We start from the raw sequence: 27279 nt of genomic DNA on the forward strand, positions 1-27279 counted from the left end.
ATTTCAGTATAATCTTTTATCTCATACTAAACAAAAACAAAAACCTGAGGGCTAACTATATGATAAAAGAAGATGTAAATTTTTTTATCATACTGCAATTTCCCTGTTTTTAACTTCCTTTCTACCAAAACTAATTGTGATTTTTGCCATTGAAAGTAACAGCAAAAGCTGCAATTACTTTTGCAACAACCTAATAAATTTCACATGATGCCTTCAAATCTGTAAACACTTCCGATATTCTGAAAAAAACCCTTCTGAGTACCATTCCAATAATCTAACTTTTATAAATAAAATAAATGGTTTCTGTATATTTGCTAATTCAAACTATTCTTGTGCTTTTTCACCTACTGGAAAAAACTAATTATGAAAATTATCTCCTCTTTCTATAATATCTAATGTATATACTCTAGAAACTCTTCCATTCCTCAATCTGTCTTAAATTCTTGGTTATACTTGACAATGATAACTAACTTATTATTTTCCCCAGTAACCTTTTTATTTTTTAATAACTTTAGATTTACAGAAAAGTTCCAAGTTCCAAGGGTACCACAGAGAGTTTCCATATACCAGACACCTGGTTTCCCTCATTGTTATCATATTATCATGGTATATCTGTCAAAACAAAGAAACTGACACTGGAAGATTACTATTAACTAAACAAAACCTTTTATTTGAATGTCACCAGTTTTTCCACTAATGTCCTCTTTCTGTTCCAGGATCCAATCTAGGACACCACACTGCATTCAGTTGCCATGTCTTTCCAGTCTCCTCTGGTCTATTTATCTGTCTTTCCTTGCTTTTCATGACCTTTGCAGTCATGAGAACTGATGAGATAACCTGTAGGACAACTCCCAATTTGGGTTTGTCTGATGTTTTTCTCATGAGTAGACTGGGGTTACGAGTTTTTGGCAAGAATATCACACAGGCGAAGTACCTTTGTTATCACATCACATGAGGGGCCACATGACACCCACATGACATAATAACTGGTGACATTAAACCTCATCACTTGGTTAAGGTACATCACGTGGTTATAGAGTTTGATGAATGAATAGTCATGTAACCACCAACCCAGGACTGTACAGAATAATTCCTTCACTCTTAAAAAGTTCCCCTGTACATCCCCTTTGCAGTCAATACTTCCCTCTCTCCTAAACCCTAACAACTAATAGTCCATTTTCTACTTCTATAGTTTTGCCTTTTCCAGAATGTCATGTGAATGAAGTCACACAGTTTGTATCCTTTTCGGTCTGGCTTCTTTCACTTAGTAAAATGCTTTAAAGATTCATCCATGTTATATGAATCAATTGTTTGTTCCTTTTTATCACTAAATGTTATCAAAGTTTATCCATTCCCCTGTTGAGTGGACATCTCGGTTGCTTTACATTTTTGGCAGTTATGAATAAAGTTGCTATAAACATTTGCATACAGGTTTGGGTGGACCTAAATCACTTAGGTAAACATACCTAGGAGTGCCATCACTGGGTCGCACTCTAAGTCTATGTTTAGTGTTCTGAGAAACTATCTGTCTTCCAAAGTGACTATATTATTTTGCATTCCCACCAGCAAAGAATGTCAGCGCTGCTGTTCCACCTCTTGGTCAACATTTGTTATTGTTAGTCTTGCGAATTGTAGTCATTCTAATAGGTATATAGTGGTAGCCCTTTGTAGTTTTAATCTGTATTTCCCTAACGACATATAATGTTGAATATCATCTTTTCATGTGTTTGCCATCCTTATATCTTCTTTAGGTCTTTTGACCATTTTTAATTGGACTGTTTGCTTTCTTATTGTTGATTTTTAAGAATTCTTATATATTTTATACACAAGTCCTCTATCAGATTGTAATTTGCAAACATTTTCTCCCAGTCCATGACTTGTCTTTTCATTTTTTAACAGTTTTTCACAAAGTAAAAGTTTTTAATTTTGACAAAATCTAACATTAATTTCTCTTTTCATGGATCATGCTTTTGGTGTCATATCTAAAACTTCATTGCCAAACCCAAGACTGGGTACATTTTCCCTTATTTTCTGCTAGAAGTTTGATAGGTTCATATTTTACATTTAAGTTTGTGAAGTATTTTAATTATTATTTAAGGTGTGAAGTATGTGACGTATAAGGTGTGAAGAACATACAAAAATATGTTCTTTTATTTTTATTTTCTGGCATATGGACATCCAATTATCCCAGCACTATTTGTTGAAAAGGCTATGCTTTCTCCATTGAATTACCATTATATCTTTGTCAAAGTTAAGTTGACTATATGGGCCAATTATGGATTATTTCAAATATAGGTCTATTTCTGGACTCTATTCTGTTCCATTGGTATATGTGTTTATCTTTTTGCCAATACCATGCTGTCTTGATAACTGTTGCTTTATAGTAAGTCTCGAAAGTGGGTAATGAACTCCCTAAACCTCAACTTTTGGAAGTCTCCATACTTTAAAAAAGGATTATCTCCTGGACATGAAATAATACAACCTTCACAAAGATGGGAGAAATTGGTGGACAGTTGTCTCTGTCCTGCTTTTCTTCTATCTTCCCTCTTCCTTCCTTTCCTTTCAGTCATTATGGAGAAAAAGCCAAGCCTACTTCATCCTTCATTATATGATTCCCTCTTGGGAATTCTAAGGACCAAGGGCAAGTTATTTGCTCACATACTTTGGTTTACTGTGGGAATTTTATACTACTCTAAGATACAGAGAAGATAAGAAAAACTGGCATTTAGTAAACTATAAGTTGTCATCTAAACCTGAGGTTATTATCCAGAAGAATTAGTTATGAACAAATGAATTACTCTGCTCTAAAAGGGAGGCACATGCTAGTTTCAATGCTTCAATATTTGTGTATTTAAAATAAAAATGTAATTTTAACAAGTTGTCACCACAAAACATTCTCTTCTGAAAAAAAGTTTAAATGCATAAGTTGTTCCACATAAGAAAATTACTAGCATGCTGGAGAGACAAAACAAATAAAACTATTAGTGAATATAACATGACATTAGAGCATTGCATATAGCATCATTATTTGATAAAGATTCTGGAGGCCAGGCATGGTGGCTCATGCCTGTAATCCCAGCACTTTGGGAGGCTGAGGTGGGTGGATCGCTTAAGCCTAGGAGTTCTGAGACCAGCCTGAGCAACATGGCGAAACCCTATCTCTACAAAAAAAATACCCAAATTAGCTAGGTGCGGTGGCATGCACCTGTAGTCCCAGTTACTTGGGAGACTGAGGTGGGAGGATGGCTTGAGCCCAGGAGGTGGAGGTTGCAGTGAGCCATGTTCACACTATTGCACTCCAGTCTGGTGACAGCAAAACCCTGTCTTACAAAGAAAAAAATAATAAAAAATAAAAATAATATCCTCTAGGGAGGATTTGCACTTGCTGCTTCTGTCAGATCTGAGTCTATTACTAGACCAGCACCACCTTAGATCAAGCTCTGGATTTGGGAATCTCTTTTAGTCCCAGGAGATTCAAACTATACTGAAAAAAAAATGTCTGAAGTATGTTCCATTTCCCAGTCTGTGCTCACCTTAAGAGAATATGCATTTGAGGCCCTACCTTAACCTGCGGAGGGCTCCCACCTGCTGGGCAGGACCCACTTCTGCTTTTCATCTCTCTCACCCAGCATGGCCTTCCCAAAGAAGGTTCTTAATTTTCCAAGATTAGTAAATGCCCTCAGGTCAAAAGTTGCTTTAAGCGTTCTATTCCCTTTTGGCCTGCACTTCTTTATTGTTCATAAACTCTTCAATGTATTTAAATTTTTTTATTTCAATGTTGCCTGGCCCTTAAATTGTTTTTAGCAGAAGGGCTGATCCCACTAACCTAGCCCACTATTCACGGCAACAAAAAGAAACCCTCCCTGGTGACTTTTCAGAGCATAGTTTGGGTATGGTAGAAGAAATGCGAGGAGTTAAACCAAAAGTGAACTAAGAGACAAAAAATGCTAACCTCTGCTTCAAGAAGGTTGACAGTGATGGAAAAGAAAAAAAATTATGGCAGTTAGAAAGGATATTAGGACTGGAAGTGTCAGTTTCATTTTAAGAGAAGTAGAAGGGAAGGAATTCAATGAGAAGAAAAGGCAAAAGATGCTAAAACACTTGACACAGAAATTCTACTCCCAGGTAGGTGTCCAAGAGAAATGAAAATATATAGCTACACAAAAATTCATAAATGGATGTTCACAGCAGCATTGTTCATAATAGCCAAAATATCCATTAACTGGGATAGGAATAAATAAAATGTAGTGTATTCACATAACAGAGTATTATTTGGCCATAAAAAGAAACGAAGTACTGATATAAGCTACAACACTGATGAACCGTGAAAACATTATGCTAAGTAGGAAAAAACCCCACATATTATATGATTCCACTTACATTAAATGTGCAGTATGGGCAAATATACAGAGACCAAAAGTAGATTAGTAAGGTTGCTCAGGAGTGGGAAACATGGGAAGCTTGGGGGTGACTGCTACAGGTCATAGGATTTCTTTCAGAGGTGATGAAAATGTTCTGAATTTGTGGTGATGGTTGCATAACTCCAAATACAGGAATACCCCATTAAATTGTGCTTTGCTTTATTGCATTTTGCAGATATTAAAATTTTTACATATTGAACATTTGTGGCAACTCTGCATTGAGCAAATCTATTGGTGCCATTTTTACAAGAGCATGTGTTCATTTTGTGTCTCTCTGTCACATTTTGGTTCCTCTTGCAATATTTCAAACCTGTGAACAGTGATCTCTGATGTTACTATTGTTAATTGTTTTCAGGTACCACAATAAACCGTGCCCATAAAAGACAGCAAACTTGAGTGTGTTCCAACTGCTCCACTGACTGGCCATTCCCGTTTCTTTCTTTCCTAGCACCTTCCTATTCCCTGAGACACTACGATATTGAAATTAGGCAAATTAGTAACCCTACAATGGCCTCTAAATGTTCAAATGAAAGGAAGAGTCACATGTCTCTCACTTTAAATCAAAAACTAAAAATGATTAAGCTTACCAAGGAAGGCATGTCAGAAGCCAAAATAAGCCAAAAGCTAGGTCTCTTGTGCCAGTTAGCCAAGTAGTGAATGCAAAGGAAAAGTTCTTGAAGGAAATTAACAGTGCTACTCCAATGGAACACACAAACGATGAGAAAGTGAAATAGCCTTACTGCAGATAGGTGAAACAGCAGGGGCTGATGTAGAAGCTGCAGCAAGTTCTCTGGAAGACCTAGCTAAGATAACTGATGAAGGTGGATACACTAAATAACAGATTTGCAATGTAGATGAAAACAACCTGAGAGCAGTCAATGCCTGATTTCAAAGCTTCAAAGGACTCTCTTGGTAGGGTTATTTAATGCTGCTGGTAACTTGAAGTTGAAGCCAATGCTCATTTGCCATTCTGAAAATCCTAGGGCCCTTAAGAATTATGCTAAATCTACTCTGCCTGTGTTCTATAAGTGGATCAAAAAAGCATGGATGACAGTATAACAGTTGCAGCATGGTTGACTGAATATTTTAAGCCCATTTTTGAGAACTACTGCTCAGAAAAAAGATTCCTTTCAAACTATTTCTGCTCACTAACAATGCACCTGGTCACCCAACAGGTCTGATGGAGATGTACAAGACGACTAATGTTGGTTCCCTGCCTGCTAACACAACATCCGTTCTGCAGCCCATGGGTCAAAGAGTAATTTCAACTTTCAAGTCTTATTATTTAAGAAGTGCATTTCATAAGGCTATAGCTGTCACTGACAGTGATTCCACTGATGGATCTGGGCAAAATATATTGAAAACCTTCCAGAAAGGATTCACCATTCAAGATGCTCTAGGCTGCTCTGGTCTGTAACTTTCCATTCCAACAGTAAAAAATCTGGGATCTCCTACTTTTCACCTCAGAAAGCTACAAATGTAAAAGGAAAAATAAATTTGTTTTGAGAGGAAATCACTTATTCAAATAGCCATGTTATTCTGTTTTGTTCATAATATCAACGGCTCTATAAATAAAGAACTTTAAAGAAATAGCAAATTCACCCAGAGAAAGCTCTGCCTGCAATATTTTTCAGGTCATGTCACACAAAGAAAAATAACAATGCTTGCACAGCCCACTGAGATAAAATGGACAAGGATGTTCAGTGGTGGAGGTGATGGCTCAAGGGACTTAGGAATCCGTCTGGAATGCTGAGAGACCAACACGTCCACTAACCTACAGCTATTCACACCATCAGGGAAGTGCTGGACTAAAGTAACAAGGCTCTAACAACTCCAGGGATTTCTAGAATTGTGTATCATATACTATTCCTAAAATATAAAAAGTAACATTAAGGTCTGAGGTTAAAAAAAAAAAAGAATCACAATACATATCAATTGCTAAGCAGTGTAAAGGGTTCACTTTTGCAGTGGTCTAGAACTAAACCCACAATACCTTTTAGGTAGCCTGTATACTAAAAACCATCAAACTGTCCTCTTTAAACGGATATAAATTATAACTCAATAAAGCTGTTACCAAAAAAAATTTTTTCTGAGATGCTTTTCCTGACAATCTCTAATCCCACTTTGCATGTATTTCTTTTCATTCTTTAGTCACTCAACATTTATTTTCTAAATATATATTATTTTATAAATCACTGACTATATAACACTTGTTTCAAAACTTTAATTTGACAAAAATTTAATTTGACTGAAAATTAACCTTACTTTTCCTTCTTGCTTTTCGGAACTTGACAGCAGCCAGATTTATTAAATTCATGCCATAAAGATTGTAGTCAATGAAGAGCTGTAGGAGGTAGGGAATATGCGCTTCATGAGGCTGGTAAAATTTATTCATTATGGCTCCGCTTTGCAAAAGTTCACATATCCTAAATTAGAAAAAAAAAGTTTTATCATAAAATTATGTTCCCTAAAATGTTAAATGAAACAATGATTATAGAAATATACAGAACAAAGCACTTATTAGCACACAAAATTTCCATCTCAATTTTACCGGAAATTTGTATTTTGTTAGAAATTAAAAGTTTCAATCAAGTTTTCAAGTAAGCAACATGTTCTGAATAACAAAAAACTGCATGGATGAAGAATATTTTGTCTTAAACCAATTTGATACTAACTATATTTAAAAATTAAAAGGTTTTTAAAATAAAATTTTTCTTTTAAAAATAACAAATAATTTTGAAAAGATTAATATTCAAAAAAGGAAAAGAAATCATTACTTATAATCCCACCACTCAGAGGTATTGCCATTTTGATATTTTTCTTTCCTGAGTATTTTTTTTCCCTTCATGATGACGAATACAAACAACAGACAATTATATACAGCATAGTTAAGTACTATGTGGGGAAATACATTAAACATCTAGAAAAGATACTAAACAGATAGAGGTACAGAGGTGGTTTCTGCAAAACCTTAGAGAAACTCTCTAAGCAAGAGACTAAATGATGAACTAGAGGCACTTTTTTCTCTGAAGAGAGGGAAGAGTATTCACGTAAATAAAACTGCACATGTAAAGGGTCACGAGAAAACACGGCTTATTCAGGAACTGAAACCACTGAGTAAGACTGTGACCTAGTGTCAGAGGCAGGGATAGAGAAGTAATGAGAAGTAAGAGCATGAAGAGCCTGTTAAGACATTTGAAGAGGTAGTGAAATTTGTCTGAGAGGTGAATAGCAGAAAAGTGACATCACCAGACTAGCTATAGAACACAGAAGACTACAGGTAAGGAGTAAATAGGCTGTTGTGGAAAAACTAAGGATGGTGGCTATAACAAGGATCATAGAAATGTACTGATTCAGGAGACATATAAGGGGTGAAATGATCAGGCCTTGATGACTAACTAGATGTGAAGGGTGAGACAGAAAAGGGGCTGAGGGTGATGCCTAGATTTCTTGCTTAAGCAGCTGGTTAGTGGTGGTGCAATTATTTGAAAGGGGAAGAACTGTAAGAAAAATTGGTTTGGGATTTTTTGGAAGGGGAATAAGGATAAACTCAATTTAGACACAAGGGCATTTAGGTATAGTGGGGATCCAATAATAATATTGGAAATGAATCATAAAGAAAATAATAATCATTTTATTAACACAGCAGAGGTAACTAACATTTCTGAGCACTATATATTGGATACTGTGCTAACGTACTTTATTACAAGTAATGTTTATTACAAGTCTGTGGTACGATCATCTCCATTTTATAAATAAAGAAATTATCTTAGATTTAAAAATCACACAAAAGATAGAAGAGCTCTGAGGTGGGAGGACCACCTGAGCCCAGGAGTTCCAGGTTACAGTGAGGTATGATGGCGCCACTGCATGCCATCCTGGGCAACAGAGCAAGATCCTGTGTCTTAAAAAAACAAAGGGGCTAAAATTCAAATCAAAATTTCTCTGCCTTGTGAGCCCTCACTCTTAACCACTCGGCTATTCCATCTATCCAGTAGATGGTTTGATATATTGTTTAGAAGCTCTAGAGAGAAATGAGGCTATTCATATACATTTGGAAGTCAAAAGCATAAAGATAAACAAAAACAAAAGTTAAAACCAAACAAACCCATGGGAGTAAATAAGTCTGTAGAGGGAACAGAAAATATACAGAGTAAAGATGAAAGTCTAAGGCAGAATTCTAAGAAACAACCATAGATGTTAAAATGTAAACCAACAAAATGGCAGAAATATGATTGATCACACTGGAATGAGAAAAACTAGAGGTGGTATATATCACAGAAGCTAACATTTAGGATTGTTTTAAGGCACCATAAGCATCACCATGAGGTCAAAAAGTAAGGACCTAAAATTGGATTTAGCAACACAGAGGTCATTAGTGAAAGCAATTTTCAGTAAAATGGTTGGGGTAGAAGCCATATTGTAGTAAGTTAAAGAGTGAATGGGAAAGCCGAGCACAGTGGCTTGTGCTTGTAATCCCAGCACTTTGGGAGGCTGAGGCAGGTGGATCACTTGAGGTCAGGGGTTCTAGACCAGCCTGGCCAACATGGAGAAACCCTGTCCTTACTAAAAATACAAAAAAATTAGTCAGACGTGGTGGTGGTGCCTGTAATCCTAACTACTCAGGAGGCTGAGGCAGGAGAATTGCATGAACCCCGGAGGATGAGGTTACAGTGAGCTGAGATCGTGCCATTGACCTCCAGCCTGAGCAACAGGGCAAGATTCCAATTCAAAACAAACAAACAATGAATGGGAGGTAAGAAGTTGGATACACAAAGTATAGATAAATCTTTCAAGGAGAATGGCTAAATGAGAAAGGTGTTTCTATGAGTATGAATGTGTGCGTATAATTAGCAAAGTTTTATTAATATTAAAATGGAATTGGAAAGAAAGACGGGAATAGCCGACAGATGGAAGCGATCCTTGAAAACATCAAAGAAGATGAATCTTGAGCCTCAGAGGTGAGGAGGAAAAATTTCTTTCACGGAATAGGCAGCGAGGAGAGAATGGATGTAAATGCAATTTAAGGTTAAGAAAGCCTTAAGAGAGCTTTATTCCAGTGGTTCTCAAACTTTTTGGCCCCAGAACCCCTTTCATTCTTAAAATGTTATTGAGGGGCTGGGCACGGTGGCTCACGCCTGTAATCCCAGCACTTTGGGAGCCTGAGGTGGGCGGATCACCTGAGGTCAGGAGTTTGAGACCACCTGGCCAAGATGGTGAAACCCCATCTCTACTAAAAATATTAAAAAATTAGCCAGGCATGGTGGTGGGCACCTGTAATCCCAGCTACTCAGGAGGCTGAGGCAGGAGAATTGCTTGAACCTGGGAGGCGGAAGTTGCAGTGAGCCGACATGGTGCCACTGCACCCCAGCCTGGGCAACAGTGAGACTCCATCTTAAAAACAAAACAAAACAAAACAAAACAAAACAAAACAAAACAAAACAAAAACAACATTATTGAGAACACTAAAGAGCTTTTGTTTATGTGGTTTATATCTACTGATATTTACCATATTAGAAATTAAAACAGAAATGCAGTGGTGCGATCTCAGCTCACTGCAACCTCCACCTCTGGGGTTCAAACGATTCTCCCACCTTAGCCTCCAGAATAGCTAAGACGATAGGTGCTTGCCACAAGCCCAACTAATTTTTGTATTTTTTGGTAGAGATGGGGTTTCATCATGCTGGCCAGGCTTGTCTCAAACTCCTGACCTCACGTGATCTACCCACCTCGGCCTCCCAAAGTGCTGGAATTACAAGTGTGAGCCACCGTGCCCCACCTACTAATTTTAAAGTAACAATAAACTCCTATGTTAACATAAATAACATTGTTTTAAACTATATTTTTCAAAACAAGAACAACTTAGTGAGAAAAGAAACATTGTTTTACATGTTTACAAATCCTTGTTTTTACAGAAGATAGCTGGATTATTACATCAGCTTCTGTTCAATCTGTTGCAGTATATTGCTTTTGTTGATGTATATAAAGAAAATCTAGCCTCACACAGATATGGAGTTGAAAAAGAAAATAATTTAATAGCCTTTCATGTTACTTTCATTTTGTCACATAAATGTTACAAAGATATATAACCAAGGGTCAAAATTCAATAAAATAATTTTTACCATGTCCTAATGGATATTCTAATGTGAAACCGGCTTTTTTTTTTTTTTAAAGGTGAGTACTTAGTGGTAGAAAACACAATGATTAGTAGTTGATGTCATTACCCTGATTTGAGACAAGGTGCCAGATTAACCCACTATCAATGAAAACAGTGCAAAAGGAAAATCAGTATAATCTTAGTATAATAAAGATCTTAGTATTTTAGTATAATAAAGAGAATTCTGACCATACAAATCCCCTGAAAGGGTTTCAGAAATCCCCACTTCACACTTTGAAAACCACCTCTCTAGAATGATGGGTTCTGTTTTCTCTAAGAAGGTAAGGCCTGAGTAGAGGATAGAGAATAGTAAAGAGACAATTAACTAGAAAAAAGTAGACATACAGCACGCAGGGAAGGGTCTGGGTGAAGTTGAAAACCATGAATTTACAGTGGCACCAGTGTGTAATTTTTTTTTAAATTTTTTTATTCTGCAGTAATCAGAAACTGAGGCTTAGTGGAGAGAAAATAAATGGATGAATTCAGAACTGACGTTTTCATTTGGCAGACCAAAGAGTACCACAATTTTTGCTTATATATTTGGGTTACCTGTGTATTCTCTATCTCCCCAGCTTGTTGTAAGTTCCCTGAGGGCATGAACCATGCACACTTTGCTCACCATGTCTGCCCATCAACTTCCACAGAGCATCAAGTAATGTAGGTACTTTGCAAATATTTATTAAACATGCATAAACAGGTCTGGTATGGTGGCTCAGGCCTGTAATCCCAGCACTTTGGGAGGCTAACGTGGGAAGATCACTGGAGCCCAGGAGTTTGGGGTTGCAGTGAGCTATGACTGCACCATTGCGTACTCCAGCCTGGGCAACAAAGCAAGACTGTCTTGAAAAAATAATAAATGAACAAATAATGATGAATAAATGAATGAATCCATTAATAAATCAGGAATTTTAGAATGGCATTGTGATAAGCTGACTATATAATTTAAAGCAAACTTACTGAGAACAGTTTAGTGTTTGCTATGGTTGCAAGGAAAAAAATTGATTGTATTTATAATTTGTTTATAGGTTATTTATAAAACACTTAAGCCTCTTTTAATCATGGCTCCCACTCCAGCACAACTTGTGGACGAGAAAGGGAAAAATGACTGAGGTTTACTCTCTTACCACTCTGTATGTGTGTGAGAGAATAAGAGTCCACAGAAATTGCTCTTTTGTACTCCACGAATATGAGGAAGTATGAGTAGAGGGGAACTGGTACAGAACAGAAGTTATTTTGGGTAAGATCAAGGGCAGGATGTAAGAAAACTAGTTTTCAGTTACAAGGGAATAACCATTGGGAATAGAGCTGTGCTTCAGTGAAGTACTCAAATGGTTTAATCCAGGGTAAACCTCATGTTCTGGGCAGTCGTGCCCCCTGTAGTGCTTTAATTCACTATGGGAAAACATCCAATCTGTGTTTTACAAAAAAGTTACTTTTTGGAACCCAGTACCTACTAGCAGAGAGGACCTCCTGAAAAAATAATACTCAGTACACCTCCGAGGCCACTTTTACCCTAGCTTCCCACTATACATAGTGAAAATCCTTGTTTTGAATCTGAAAGGATGATTAAAATCTTCCATATATGTGCCCTTCCCTGCCCTCCAGGATGATTGAGAGGATAAGCTAGAGGCAGGGAGACTAACTGAGGGAAGAAAAAACAACCAAAACCAAAACCAACAAAAAACCTGGAATATAAAATTTCACCAACATCTAGTAAACAGTCAACAGGTTTCTGAGATCTCAAAAGCCCTCTCACTCTGGACTCACTCCTACATATTTCCCCTTGCTTTGAAGCTAAAGAGCAACTTTCTCTTAATGCTGAACTAAGGTCTGGCCAGAAGAGGCCTAACATCACACAAGGCAGCCGTAATCTCTCCTAACCTACTTCTACGAACTCTCTAATCTGTAACAGGAAAGAAGCAGTTGGGAGCCTCCACCTCTAAAATATCCTTCATAGAGTCCAAGCCACTGGTCTCTCTCTATACACGTACATGTGTATTTTACGGTCTCTGTCTTTAATAAGACTACAAACTATAGAGGCCTTCTTTCTAGATTTTTTTTATTATTAAAATACTTCAATGATAGTTATTCATATTTTGGTTTCATTTATCTTTGTACCTTTTCACCATTGTAGGATTGTAAAGATAGATCTTCATAAAGTGTCTTTCCTTCTCATGATAACCATAAAAAGGCCTGAAATATAAGAAAAAAAATTTCAAATTATTTTCATAATTCAGAGATGAAATAATGCAACTTATTGCCCTAATTAGATTCAGCTGGCCAAATTCAGTCTTACGTTTAATATTATCCACCCCCCAAAAAACAACTAAAAAATCCCAAACCTTTCAGTTAAACCTAGCACAGGTTAACATGAAATACTGAAGCTTTTTTAAAAAGTGTAAAAAATATCACTTTCTTTAATTACTGACGATGGGAATTAAAAATTATCACTCTGAAAAAACTATGGACAAAAAGGAAGAACAAACCATCCACCCCTTAATCTCAAACATCAAGACTCTTTAAGTGGCTTTTTGTTTTCTTTACTCCACATATAAGAAAACATATTTTTGTTTGCTTTACTCCACATATGAGAGAAACAGACCTTTCAGCCGCCTTCTTCTGGCTCCCATTTTTTTGTTAAAAACTGAAGTTCTTCTTCAACAAAGTCCTTTACTTAACAACACTTACATTACTTTCCTTATTCAGCTGTTTATTATTATTTTATAAGTTCAATAAGCAGAGACAATGTACCTATTATATGTACACACAGCATGTATTTCAGTAGCTGATATGAATAAACCTGTAACACACAACCATATCAAGTGCATCCTGTGAAAAAACTGTGTAGACAGGAACTTAAGAGACTGAAAAAGACCATGGACTTACTTAAGCAACATAATCATGTTATGGCTGAGTTTTTTCTCGGGGTATCAGCTGGAATGAGGAAAGGGGGAAGCAAAAGGCTATATAACAGGAAGAGAAATCCTCGGTGCAAGATGAAATAAGCTGAACTCTCACATCATTTCAGGAGGATCTGAAACTACACTACAACCTCTGATATACAGAACACTATTTTCAAGGATGATGTAATTAGAAACAATACATAAACAGGCGTAAATTTGTGAATGAAATAAAAGGCTTTGTATTGGCTGAAAAGTGGTCTGTTAATACACGGTTAAATCTTTAGGTGGATAAACCCAATCACTCTTTATTTAAAAACATTGTTCCCTTATGACAGGCAGCAGATAATAGAATTTACTCTCATAGGACATCACCTCTCTGTGATGTCTAATAGTGTAGTGGACATCAAATAAAGGACTAATTTGGTAGCAGAGACATTATTTTGGGTATAATTTTTTAGTTGTTTTAAGCCATCTGTATTATTGTTATAAAGTAATTTCTGTTAAAAAAAAAAAAAAACAACTATTTACCAAGGTCTAAAGGGTTCCTCATCTCATCCTTGCCTCTCACTCCAATCTCAAGTCATACCATTCTTCCTTCTCCTCCAACCACTCTAAACATTTCAGACCCTCTAACTCGATCCCTCAAGTGGAAAGCTCCGCTCTGGACTTTTGCATGGCTTGTTTAATCTTCATTCAGAACTCTGCTTAATTTACCTTCTCAGAAAAGTCTCACCTGACCATCCCTCCCTCTTACTCTTCACCCTTTTCTTAACTTTTTATAATACCACTTCCCGTCTAGTTTGCTGCTGTATACCCTATTTTGTTGCCATGAAGAATTGGTTAAAGAAAGACATATTACATAAATGATATCATTCTCTCTCATTGGCAAATTCAACCTTAACTGTAGCCCTTTCCTGCTATGGTATTTTTCATATATACAAAGGTAGTTGTCTGGAAACATGGGTTATCTTCAGCCAGATGAATGGTTTTGCCAAAAGAATTCCTCATCAGGGAGACTCTTTGGGGGAAAAAAGTAGAATGGAGGAGTATGAAAGCAGATGTTTTCATGTTTAAAAAATTATATCTCGTAATTAGTTTTTTAAGTATATCAATAGGAAGGAAAATGAGTGTGGATAGCGAAAAATCTCACCTAATTAATTTTGATGGATTGAGAATCTCTTTATAGAAGATTCTCTAAAATCATGAGTGAGAAGGAATCCCAGAAATTAGCCCAAGGTCATGATCCTATCTCTTAACTCAGCCTCAGGATAGTGATAGTCTAAAAAGAATAGAGTTAAACCTCATGTAAATGTTAATTTGGTAGCTAGATGCAACTTTATGTAACTTAAGTAGGAAAAATTGAAGGAGTAAAGGAATTAGAGAAGGTAGAATGAATGGGAAGGAAAAAGGGGATCTAGGGAAGAAAATGACCAAAAAATTAGAAGAAAAAAGAAAACTGCAATGAAAAATTAGAGTGAGCAGCTCATCTGTTGCCCCATGTATCCAGATCTGTAACTCAACTACTCTCAAAAATGTGGCAATGTCTTTAACAAATACAAAAATACAGGAAGATAAGTGACTATGTATTTCACTGGGCTGTTTGGAGACTTAACTTTGAAATGAGGATATATATAGGAAAGTTATTAGAAACTATCAAGAATAAACAAAACTAAAAGATAAAGTAGATAATTATCCCTAACATAATTGCTCCTGTTATAGGATGAGTGTAAACTTTCACCTCATTCATTTATCCAACCAAACAGTTATTGAGTCATCTCATACATGCTAGTGCACTAGCATGCAGTTTACATGCTAGTGGAAGAAACACATAAAAATTAAGTAAATAAATAAAAATTAAAATACCTGCAAACTGTATTAAGTGCTAAAGAAAACAAATAATGGGCTGAGATACAGAATAATAAAAACAGTAATAATAATAATGCCCTACTTAAAATACCTTATTTTACGTGGGATAGTCAAAGAAAACTTCTCTGAAGAGGTCAATGATCTGGAGGATTGGGGAAGGGTAGAACACTCAAGGAAAGAAAATTGTACATACAAAGAACTTAGGTGAGAAACAACTTGGATAGCAGAGGAACTGAGAGAAAGTCACTGTTTCTGAATGGAATACAGAAAGCAGAGTTTCAGAGGTAGATGGGGTGAGGTCACATAGGTTATGGCTAGAAGTTTAAATTGTATTCTATTAACAATATGAAGCCACTCAAGAATTTTTAAATGATTTTAAATTTACAGTATAAGAGTACTTCTGCTGCTCTGGAATGAGATAAAAATAGAAGGAAATTCAATTAAAATGATACTATCATGGTCCAGAGGAAAGCCTAGATTAAGGTGGAAGCAGAGATTTAAGGTCTCCACTTGGATTTCATATGGACATAAAACAACTCAAATGTTCCTGTATGAGCTCCAGATCTTTCCTGTCAGTTGACTCTACCTCTACCTTCCGTCTTCCTAGCAGAACACCCTTAAACTTTTGCAGTCAACCTTGATTCCTCTCTCACAATCCTTACCCAAACACAAAGCAAAGCTAATACATTAACTCAACCTTCAGAATAGATCCAGAAGCTGATGATTACTTCCCTGCTACCACCCTAGTTCAAGCCACACTATTTTCTTTTTTGTTTTAATTTTAATTCCTTGGTCTTTTCTACCTTAATATCAAGCCACCATATTTTCTTACCCAGATTAATGTCCTAATTCTCTCCCTGCTCTTATTCTCGTCCCCCTACAATCTATTATTAATACAGTTGCTTAAGTAATCCTTTCCAGTTTAAGCCAGATCTTGGCTGCTCAAAATCATGTAATAACTTACAGTAAAAGTCAAAGTCCTTACATTAGCCTACTGAGTGATTAACAAACTTAAGCATGCATAAGAATCATCAGAAAGGCTTTATTAAAACACAAATTGCTGGGCCCCAAGAATGTAGTTCTACCAAGTTCCCAGGTGTGTCAGTCCCAGTCCTCCAAGAAGTAAATGCCAAATGTGAGAGAAAATGAGAAGGCAGCCAGAAGAAGCCGGCATAGCCACCAGACCTAGATACCAGTCTCATCTCAAGTGGACAGAGGGATGTTTTACAGATCTGCTTTAGTATCTTTGCCATGCTCAGTCATAGGGTAAGAGTAGCCTATGGAAAGCAGCTCATGTGGAGTGACAGACTGGAATTGAGTGTATAGTAGCTGGGGCCATTCACTCATTCTCTGTGTATTTGGAGATCTGAGAGGTATATTCTCATGGCTGTAAAACTAGGTAAAGCTAATGATAGTAGGTGATACTAGGAAACCAAAGTATGGAAACCACACTTTGAGAATCATTGGTCCTCACAGTCTCTACCCTCTCATCTCTCTCTTATCTCATTTAGTCCAACTCTCCTTTACTCTTCCACTCTAGTCACCTGGCTTCCATGCTGTTCCTACTCCCTTACCTCCTTCAGGTCTTTGCTCAGATGTTGTTACTTTGTCAATGACACATTCCCTGATTACTCTAAAATTGTCACTAGTCTACTTCCTTACCCCACACTACTATTCCTTCTTATCCTGCTTGTATAGATTCTTTCCTTCCACACGACTAATTATCATATAGCAAATAAATTAATTTAATGTTGTATTTATTGGTTATTATCTGTTTCCCGTAGTAGAATGTAACTTCCACATGGGCAGGGCTCTTTGTTTTGTCCAGCAGTATATCCCAAACGCCTAGAACAGTGCTTAGCACATAAAAAGTATTTAAGAAATATTTGCTGAATAAATTACTATATGAATTACTAATGAATTTCTATAGTTACAGGAAGCAGAGAAATGGGAAAGGAAACAACAAAAATCACTGTTGACTCTCTACCTTTCATTGCCATAAAAATTCATGTTAAAAAGTTACAGCAAGGAATTCACTACAGTTCCATTAGACTAGAAGTAAAAGAAATAGAGTTTATCAACTGAGTATGTTTTCCTCTAAATAGAATAGCAACATAAACAGAAATTATAAAATATATTATCATATACTTACATTCCTGATACTAATGACACTTTGAACACATGCTGAGCAGTGGAAGATGGATTGCCTAAAGCCACATTAAGTGCTCTGTCGATACTGAATGCCATCTGAGAAAGATAGCTTTCTGGCTGCTGTCCATAACCATCGTATGGCACATAGAGGTAAGGAAAGATGCCATGTAGATGAAGACATGTCTTCTGACCTAAAATGTAACACATTATAAAGTTTAGTTTCCAGACACAGTTTAACAATACAAAACTCAGAATGAAACTCATTTAAATGTTCTAATGGCAACACAGCTTATCTAAGGGAAGAGTTGAAAAAAATTAACCCATAGTTCAAAGTAACCAGTATTAACTACATTTTACAACAGAACATTTGGAAACATTGTGTAAACACAAGCATTGTATAACAGTATGACTTAAACAGTAGTTTTGATGAAAGTATTTTCACTATTTAACCCTCATAATCCAACTAGTCTTGTGTACTTCACTGAATCATCTATAAATACCAGTGTTATGAAGGTTATAAGCACAGTGTTATGAAGGTTACAAAAATTCACAAAAAGTTTACTAAATAAATCAATGAATGCCTGTCTTGGCATTAATGTTTTCAAACAAGAGCCTTCCCTAAAAGAGAGGCAGCTCTGGGAGAAAGGGGAATGTAAAAGCAGTTCCAGTGTGCAGAATTTTGCTATTGCAGTGGGAAGGAGGGTAAAAATGAAATTTTGCCATTAAAAGGAAAAAAAAAAAGACAAAACCAAATCAAAACAAAATCTCTACAGATCAATTATCTATAATGGATTTCAGGGTATCTAAATTTTATATTTGGTGGTATGGAACAAGGGGAGACAAAAGGCCAACATGCACACTTCTCAGAAAACCAATATATCAGTCAAGGTGCAGAAGGGGTAAATGGTGCTGACTTGCCAACAGACAATCCAGCACAGCCATGATAAAGAAAGTAATTTGAGTGAGAACCCACAAAAGAAATGCCACAGAAACGATAATCTGTCCATGACAAGATTAAGTAACAACAATGGCAACAAAAAGCAGATGCACCATTGCTCTCATGAATCTGGCAGGGCTGTATGGAAGTGGTTACTGTCCTCAGAGCATTGTCCCTAGTTCCCCTTGGGTATGTGCCATTTGTCTAATCCAAACAGAGAGGAGAACAGCAGTGATGGAAGAACACATCCATTTTTCTCATGCTGTCACCCGCTCTCACTGTGCTGTTCCTGCCAACACAAGCCTCAGGCTTCTTCCCCACCCCTTATCCCTCCTCACTCTGCTTCACTGGGCCTTTTCTTTTGGTAGGAATGTAAATATTTGTTTGATCACTATTTCCCATTTATGATTTAGAATGATTTATATAAAATATATAGAAAGTAGTTCTACACTGTGTTGATATCTTAATGTTTACATTTCTTATAAAGAATAACATTAGCTTCTCTTATTTTTAAGGTACACTTACGACAGAAAAATAAATCTGGAACAGTTATTACATAAAGCAGAGCAAATTTAGAAAGATCAGTCACATAATGAAACAAGATCTGATTCTCCGAACTGTAATATTCTGATTTGAACTACCAACTGTCGTGCTTTTGAAAAATTACAAATTGTGTTGCTGTTATACAAATTTCAGTTTCCAGTTTGGCTATTTCATTTCTAAATACAACATGGTATTAATTCCTAAATTTCATAGTTTTTCAATTCTTCAAATAGAGAACATTCAAACTATATTAATGAGTCTTAATAGATTTAATCAATTTACTGATGACTTACTTGAATGCTTTTTAAATATCTCATGAATAAATGTTATAACCATTACCCTTCTGGACAAAAACCACAATTTGACTAAGAGTAACTGGTATGCTAAACTACAGGTTGAGGGAGGTGGGAAGACAGTGAATTATTTCCTCTTAAGTTGACAAATGCAAGACCAGTGATTACAGAATTACTAGTGCAATGCCATATTTTACAAGCAATACTGTAAATTCCTAAGGTATTTGTTTTATAGTCAATATATCTCAATAATGGAATTTTGGGTAAATTTTACAAGAAACAATTACAAAATTGGACTGTATTAATAGTTTCTTTATGGTCAGAGTGTTCACAAAGTGTCTTAAAAATAATTTTATATCCACTTTTCACATCTCCTGTGAAGTAGGGACCAGAAGAATTACCTTTCTATTTATAGGCTTCAGAACTACAACAATTTTGGGATGTACAATTTAGGAAAAAGGAAGAAATGATTTACTCAGCAGGTAATAGGGTAAGTGCTTTACCTATGTATTTCTAATTAGGATAATCTTGCAGTATTGATGGAGGTTAACGTTCCCAAAGTCACATAACTATTAAGCAATAGAATCCAGCTCAACAAAACCTAAAACCAATACTCTTTCCATTTAACCATGCTGGTTCAATGTTTTTAAAAAGTCAATGTTGGCTTCCTTAATTCCTCAGTTTTTATTTTTTATTATAATTGCCTGTTTCCTTATCTAACTTTCCCATTTCATGGCAAAAACTCTTAGGGAGGTGTTATTGTGTTCAAATGAACACTATGTCCCCAGAACTCAACAAAAAACACATGGTATGTGCTTAACAAACATTTATTAAATGAATTAAAGAACCCACAACAAAACAGAATAACTGCTTAAGGACAAAGGAATGATGTGAAAGCCTTTGAATATCTGAAGAAACACATCCACGAAAAAAGAGGGACTCTGATACAATTAATGTAACTACCATCAGGGTTAGAGGAGGACATGGGTGTGTGGGGTTGAGAAGGATCCCCAACATATTGCACTTTCCTACCCTGAATGACCTGAAGTGCCATCCAAATCTGTAGTCACTCTATCAACACAGACGTACCTCTCTCTCCAGTGCTCCTGCAGCTAGAGATGGCTCAGTGCCTTACTCATCACCCTTCCTCAAGAACAACCTCCTGAAGAACAACCACAACACAAGGAATTCTTGGCATAGCACTAACAGCTCTAATATAGAATAAGAATGATATAAGAGAAAATGAAAGAAACAGGATAAAATAAAAAACTCAAAAGTTAAATAAGGAAAGAGAAATGTGTAAAAATGAACACGAGAGTCAACTGCTTTTTGGAAATAGTATGTCTTTTATTACCATAAAATTTGTAGTTCTGTAATTTGCTTTATCTTGACAAGATACAGACCACTTCTATTTATTTCCCTCCGCTAGCTCTACCTCACACAAATGTGTGGAGATACAGAGCTGTAAAGTCTTTAGAGATAAACCAGTCTACTACAACTCCCGTTAGTTAGGATTAGGTTAAATTGTGAGAAAATGCCCCCAAATCAGTGGATTTAGCATTAAAATTAGTGGCTTCTCTCCTAAAAGAAGTCCAGAGGTAGGTAGCTGGTACTAGAAACCCAGCTTTTTTCAACATCTAGTTAGTGGTCTAATTAAGAACTTGTGACTTCAGTCCAGGCGCTTTTCCACTATACTTCTAGAAGTTCCACATACAGGATGCTTTCAAGAATGTTTTTATAAAATTAGTGAAAGTTATGGTATTTTGAAACCTTCTACTAAATGATTTTGGATTCTCTTTTTTTTTTTTGAGATGGAGTCTCGCTCTGTCACCCAGGCTGGAGTGCAGTGTTGCGATCTCGGCTTGCTGCAAGCTCCACCTCCCGGGCTCACGCCGTTCTCCTGCCTCAGCCTCCGGAGTAGCTGGGACTACAGGTGCCTGCCACCATGCCCGGCTAATTTTTTGTATTTTTTAGTAGAGACGGGGTTTCACCGTGTTAATCAGGATGGTCTCGATCTCCTGACCTCATGATCCACCTGCCTCGGCCTTCCAAAGTGCTGGGATTACAGGCGTGAGCCACCGCGCCCGGCCATTTTGGATTCTTAAAGGAGTCAGGGTATTAGGTATTTCTAGGTAACATATAGATTTAAGGAAAGAAAATATCCCTACCCCTTCAACTCTATTAACGTAAACTGATACATAAAAATTGTACATATATATGGTATACAACATGAAACTTTGATATGTATACACCATGAAATGATTAAGTCGAGCTAACATATCCATCACTTCACATACTTATTATTTTGTGGTAAGAGCATTTAAAATCTAATCTCTTAGCGATTTTCAAGTATATAATACATTATCAACTACAGTCACCATGCAGTACAACTGATGTCCAGAACTTATTCATCATGTCTAGTTGAAACTTCATACTCTTTAAACAACAACTCCCCTTCCCCTCCTCTGAAGGTTCCCTCTTACTATCATGGCAAACTGAAGTTAGACAACAAGTCCAAGAGAAATAAGATCGTCTGTGGCTGAACAAGCCCATGTACACAGGTTTCAAAAATTTCAGAGTTTGAATTTTCCAATTTGATTGATGTTCCCTAATTCAGAAGCTGCAAAAGTTATTTTAAAAAGCGCCACCAAAACTTGACACCATGGCAAAACTCTGTGGAGCTGGCTACTTCCCATTGTGTGTAAGTACATAACAAAAGGCAGATGCCTCTTCAACAAGGAGTATGTGGGTGCTCTGAATTTCATCTTTCACGGAACCCAGAATTATACTAAACATTAAGTCCTTGGCTGGGCATGGTGGCTCACGCCTGTAATCCCAGCACTTTGGGGGCTGAGGCAGGTAGATCACGAGGTCAGGAGATCAAGACCATCCTGGCCAACATGGTGAAACCCCTCTCCACTAAAAACACAAAAAAATTAGCCAGGTGCCTGTAGTCCCAGACACTCGGGAGGCTGAGGCAGGAGAATGGCGTGAACCCGGGAGGCGGAGGTTGCAGTGAGCCAAGATCGCGCCAATGCACTCCAGCCTGGGAGACAGAGCGAGACTCCATCTCAAAAAAAACAAAAACAAAACAAAACATTAAGTCCTTTATATCCCAACATTTCTTATTGTCATTTTTCAACATTTTATTCTGCAATTTAGGTGTCTTGATTTGGTCTCTAAATTGCCCATCTAAAATCTTGTTAGCCTATTTGTAGTAAAATTACTTGGGGTATTTTTGTAGATTCAGTTTCGATAAACACAAAGACTAAATGTACCATTCCTCTAATTTGGGGGTCTGAAAACTTTTTCTGGAAGGTGACAGTAAATATTTTAGGCTTTATGGGACATGCTGTATCTGACACAATTACATAACTCTGCTGTTGTAGCCTGGAAGCAGCTGTATGCAATACTTAAGTGAACGGGCATGACCGTGTTACAATAAAACTTCATTTACAAAAACACGCAACATGAGGGATTTGGCCCATGGATAGTAGTTTGCCAATCTCTGCTCTAATTAATTAGACTTCTTTCTCCATCATCATCTGGAATAGAAAAGTTTTTTTTTTTTTAAAGCTGATGGGTAATCAAAATCAAAATAGTGATAGCCTAAGAGTATCTTAGGAGAATAAGAAATACTCATTGTGTAATTTGCATATCCCATCTCCCAAATCTCAAATTCAATCTAAACAAGGTTTTAAACAAACCTCGACAGAGCTATAAAACAGAAAAACTTGGTATGTGAGCAAGAACATTTACGTTTACAAAAATTTTCATATTTTCTTCTTCCTGGAACATCTCAAGTTTTATATCACTATCATTAACTCCATCTGTTTCCTTCCAGTCTTTCTTTGCTTCTGTCTTTCTAAATTTTACTCCATCTTTCTTTTCCCATCTCCACAAAACCACAAAACGAACTAAACAAAACTCAGTCACAGAAAGTGTTAAATTATCTATTCTCATGGAAAAAGAAAAGTTGTAAGGATGTACTCTTAGCCTTGGAAATTAGATTTTCAGAATTTATCTTACAGAAAAACTTAAAAATGTACACGAAGATTCAGATACTAAGATGTGAGGTATGACTAACAATAGTGAAAAAAATGAAGATAATCTAAATTTCCAAAAATAGGGAAATAAGTAAAATTATGTTATATCTGTATAATAGCTCTGTGGCTCTGTAGCAAATCCTGCTTCCTGCCTGATTTTCTAAATAAAGTTTTATAAGAATACACCACAGCCATTTAGAATGGTCTATGGCTGCTTATGCTATAGACAGAGTTGAGCAGTTGCAATAGACACCCTACAACCCTCAAAACCTAAAATATGTGCTTTCTTGTTCTTTATAGAAAAAGTTTGCTAACCTCAGCAACAGAAGATGTTTAAGTGTATTTCCTAGTATAAGAAAATGTTTATGATGTCTTTATAGTCAGATGAAAATCAGTTATAAAATAACATAGTACATGAGACCAGGTGATGAGTGATTCTTTTATATATATATGGGTGATTCTTTTATATATATATACACATATATATATATATACACATATATATATATATACACATATATATATATATACACATATATATATATATACATATATATATATACATATATATATATATACGTATATATATATATATATATATTTCCCCCCACTAAATATACAACTTGTGTAAACAAAAGGGAGGAAGAAAGAATTTACCTACTTTTAAATAACCCAGAAACTTAAAAGGCAAAACAAAGCATAATATATAACAGTTTCCTTTCATTTTCTCCTTTTATTTGTAAATAATACTTTGGAGTTTCAAATTTATTTATGCCATTTTATTTCTTCAAATAAAATATACAGAACTTTATCTAGAATCATTGGCTTTAAATGATTAATCCCAAATTACTAAGAGAAACTATATCGCTGAAATACCAGATGTTTCAAAAGTCTATTTTATTCATACATTTGTCTAATGTGTCTTTGTATATACAGTGCAGGGTATAGTTGGTTCCTTTATTCATAAATGTAGTCATAATTTCTCTACTCAAGTAATTTGTGGAGACCCAATGTTTGGTGCTAAACCATAGGCTGCTTATAACACAGCCACTAACTTCATGACTATAAAGCCACTAACTTTATAGTCTACTTGGAGAAAATGATGAATAAATAGGCAATTACAGTATGGTATGACAGGTGCTCAGAAGCACAAAATCCTATGGCTATATCCACAAGTATCTAACTCAGACTTGTGAGAATCTAGGAAGGCTTACCAGAGGAAGTGACATTTGAGCTGATATCTGAACTATGAATCAGATTTAGCCAAGCAAATGAGGAAGAATGTTTTCAGTATGTACAGAAACCTGACAGCAACAGAAACATGGCATCTGGGAACAGGAAAAGTGTAGGTGGGATGAAACAAGGAGTGCAGTGGAGAGAAAAGAAAAAGAGTATGAGAAGGAGAGAAAGAAAAAGAGTATGAGAGAGAGAAAAACAGTGTGTGTGTGTGTGAGAGAAAGTCTGTGTTTTTGTGTGTGTGCGCACATGCATGTACTAATGACCTGTACAGATTCGCATTTTATAAAGTTCCCTGTGGACACATTGTGGGGACACTAGCAACAGAACTACAGAAAGGAAAATCTGTTTAGGAGGCTGCTGGAGGAATTCAGTCGAGATGTCAGTAGAGGTGGAGAAAAGGTCAAGGATTTAGGGAGTAGAATCAAGAGGCTATGGTAACTGGAATTTGAGAGTAGGATAAGGCAGAAGGAATCAAAGATGACTCTTATTTTTGGCTTAGGCAACTGGACGGATGATAATGTCACTCAAAGAAAACTGTAAAAGAGGGGCGGGTTGACTTCTGTTTTGCATTTATACAATTTTACATGTCTATAGAATTTCTAAATGGATATTTAAATGAAACACATACAGATATGGAGCTTAAGAAAGAGATCTGAGCTAGAGAAGAAGACAGATTTGCCAGTATGAGCAACAATTGGGTAAGATTTCTCAGGGAAAATATCCAATACCCAATACAAGAGAAGGGACCTAGGCAAGAATCCTGAGCCGATATTTAAGAGAGGCACTAAATATTTTGATTTATGTGAAATGTGACAGACAGAGCCCTGAGAGGGCTACCAGGCAAGAAAGGGAAGCTAATAGTGAAAATTTGATAATATAAACATATTAGCCATGGAACCAGTGTTCCAAGGATCCAGTGGAAATATAAGAGATAGGCAAGTAACGAGAGGCTGGATCAGAGATTGGTGGCAGGATGTAGATAAAAGTATATAGGACTGAAAAGAGGCATTTACAAAATTGCTGAGTAAGGACCTTTCAATATCTGTTCCTCCATAAAAGCAACAAGAACACTGGCAAAAACTGTCAAAAGCAACTTTTTCAGAACTCTGGAAATTAAAGGTTTGCAACAATTCAAGGCGTATTTATTCAAGAACACCAGATGAATGCTAAAACAGCAAGCTTTGTGGCATTTTAACTTGTTCTAATCTGATCTCTCCCTCTGCAGCTTCAAAACAGTCTTGAAAATCAAAGCCTTGCATCCATAGCAGCTGTAAAAACCAGCAGCCAGGCAGCCACTGGAGGAGCCGGAACCCATTTGGAGCTCCTCCAAAGCCCTACCCTCAGAAAACTGCCACTATTGGACTTGTCTGGCAGCTTGCTGAACAACACTCCATTCCCAGCACTTGCCTTTATTTGATTTGAAGAAGGGCTCACACTATGTGAAGAGCCCTATATGCGGCAGGGTCTTTGTGGAAAACAATCAACAGCAATTATTTAATTGCTGTAGCTGCCTGGAGAAATTTTACCAGTTGGGTCTAACAAGAGGCTGACCAAAAAATTCAAAAGTACAAACAGGAATGAAATGTCCACCGGGGGCTTGGAAAAGCTTTGATACAGTTAAGGGAATTTAGAAGGCCATAAGCATGTGTAGGGCTATGTACATGCCCAGGAAAGATCTAAGAAGACTAATATTTTGCCTCTGGTTGATCTTGAGGCTCTGCCCCAACATACTCACAGAGCCCCTCAGCAAAAGCTGAGAAAAGAGGCATTTAAAGAAATCTCTGGTCAACCATTAACTGACCACTATGCTAGCTGAGCAGAGATTTCAAATAGAGACTGCCGGGCGCGGTGGCTCATGCCTGTAATCCCAGCGTTTTGGGAGGCCGAGGCGGGCAGATTACGAGGTCAGGAGATCAAGACCATCCTGGCGAACATGGAAACCCCGTCTCTACTAAAAATACAAAAAAAAATTAGCCGGGTGTGGTGGCGGGCACCTGTAGTCCCAGCTCCTCGGGAGGCTGAGGCAGAAGAATGGCACGAACCCGGCAGGCGGAGCTTGCAGTGAGCGGAGATTGCGCCACTGCACTCCAGCCTGGGCGACAGAGTGGGACTCCATCTCAAAAAAGAAAAAAGAATAGAGACTATACAAAATAAGCCCATGAAAATCACTGAAGAAATAAACTGCAGCAACAACAAAAATAAACTGGGTGGGTAGAGAGGAATCTAACTTGAGAACTGCTACATAATTTAAAATGTCTGGTTTTCAACAAAAATAAAATTATAAAACACACAAACAGGCAAATATGGCACCATATATATATATATATGCACACATATATATAAAAGCAGACAACAGAAACTGTTCATGAAGAAGCCAAGGTGTTGGACTTACTGGACAAAGATTTTAAGCCAGCTATTTCAAAAAACTAAAAGAAACATGTCAAGAGAGTTAAAGGAGAGTATGAGACCAACATCTTACCAAATAGAGAATATCAATGAAGAGAGAGAAATTATAAAAAAAGAACCAAATAGAAATTCCAGAATTGAAAAGTTCAATAACTAAAATGAAAAATTTACAAGAGGGGGTATGATACTATGATATAAGAAGAAATATATATTTGGTCTTTGTCCCTCTTCCTGGTACACAGCTCCTAAAACGTTTGGATTCTTTTAAGTGTTAAGTGTTTACATGTGTACCAATGAGATGACTGGTAGCTGGGGGC

General features: G+C 36.6%; 1 protein-coding gene across 16 annotated transcripts in view; it reads right to left on the minus strand.

Moving 5' to 3' along the window:
• REV3L (REV3 like, DNA directed polymerase zeta catalytic subunit) overlaps window positions 1-27279 on the minus strand; it is a 184679-nt gene that overhangs the window by 99751 nt on the left and 57649 nt on the right. For all 16 annotated transcript variants that reach the window (NM_002912.5, NM_001286432.2, NM_001286431.2 and 13 more), the window contains 3 exons: window positions 17500-17689; window positions 12697-12771; window positions 6687-6847 (listed from right to left, as the gene is read on the minus strand). In NM_002912.5, the coding sequence (NP_002903.3) occupies window positions 6687-6847; window positions 12697-12771; window positions 17500-17689 (426 nt within the window). The remainder of the gene's footprint in view (window positions 1-6686; window positions 6848-12696; window positions 12772-17499; window positions 17690-27279) is intronic.

Source organism: Homo sapiens, chromosome 6 (assembly GCF_000001405.40).
Source record: "Homo sapiens chromosome 6, GRCh38.p14 Primary Assembly".
NCBI lineage: Eukaryota > Metazoa > Chordata > Mammalia > Primates > Hominidae > Homo > Homo sapiens.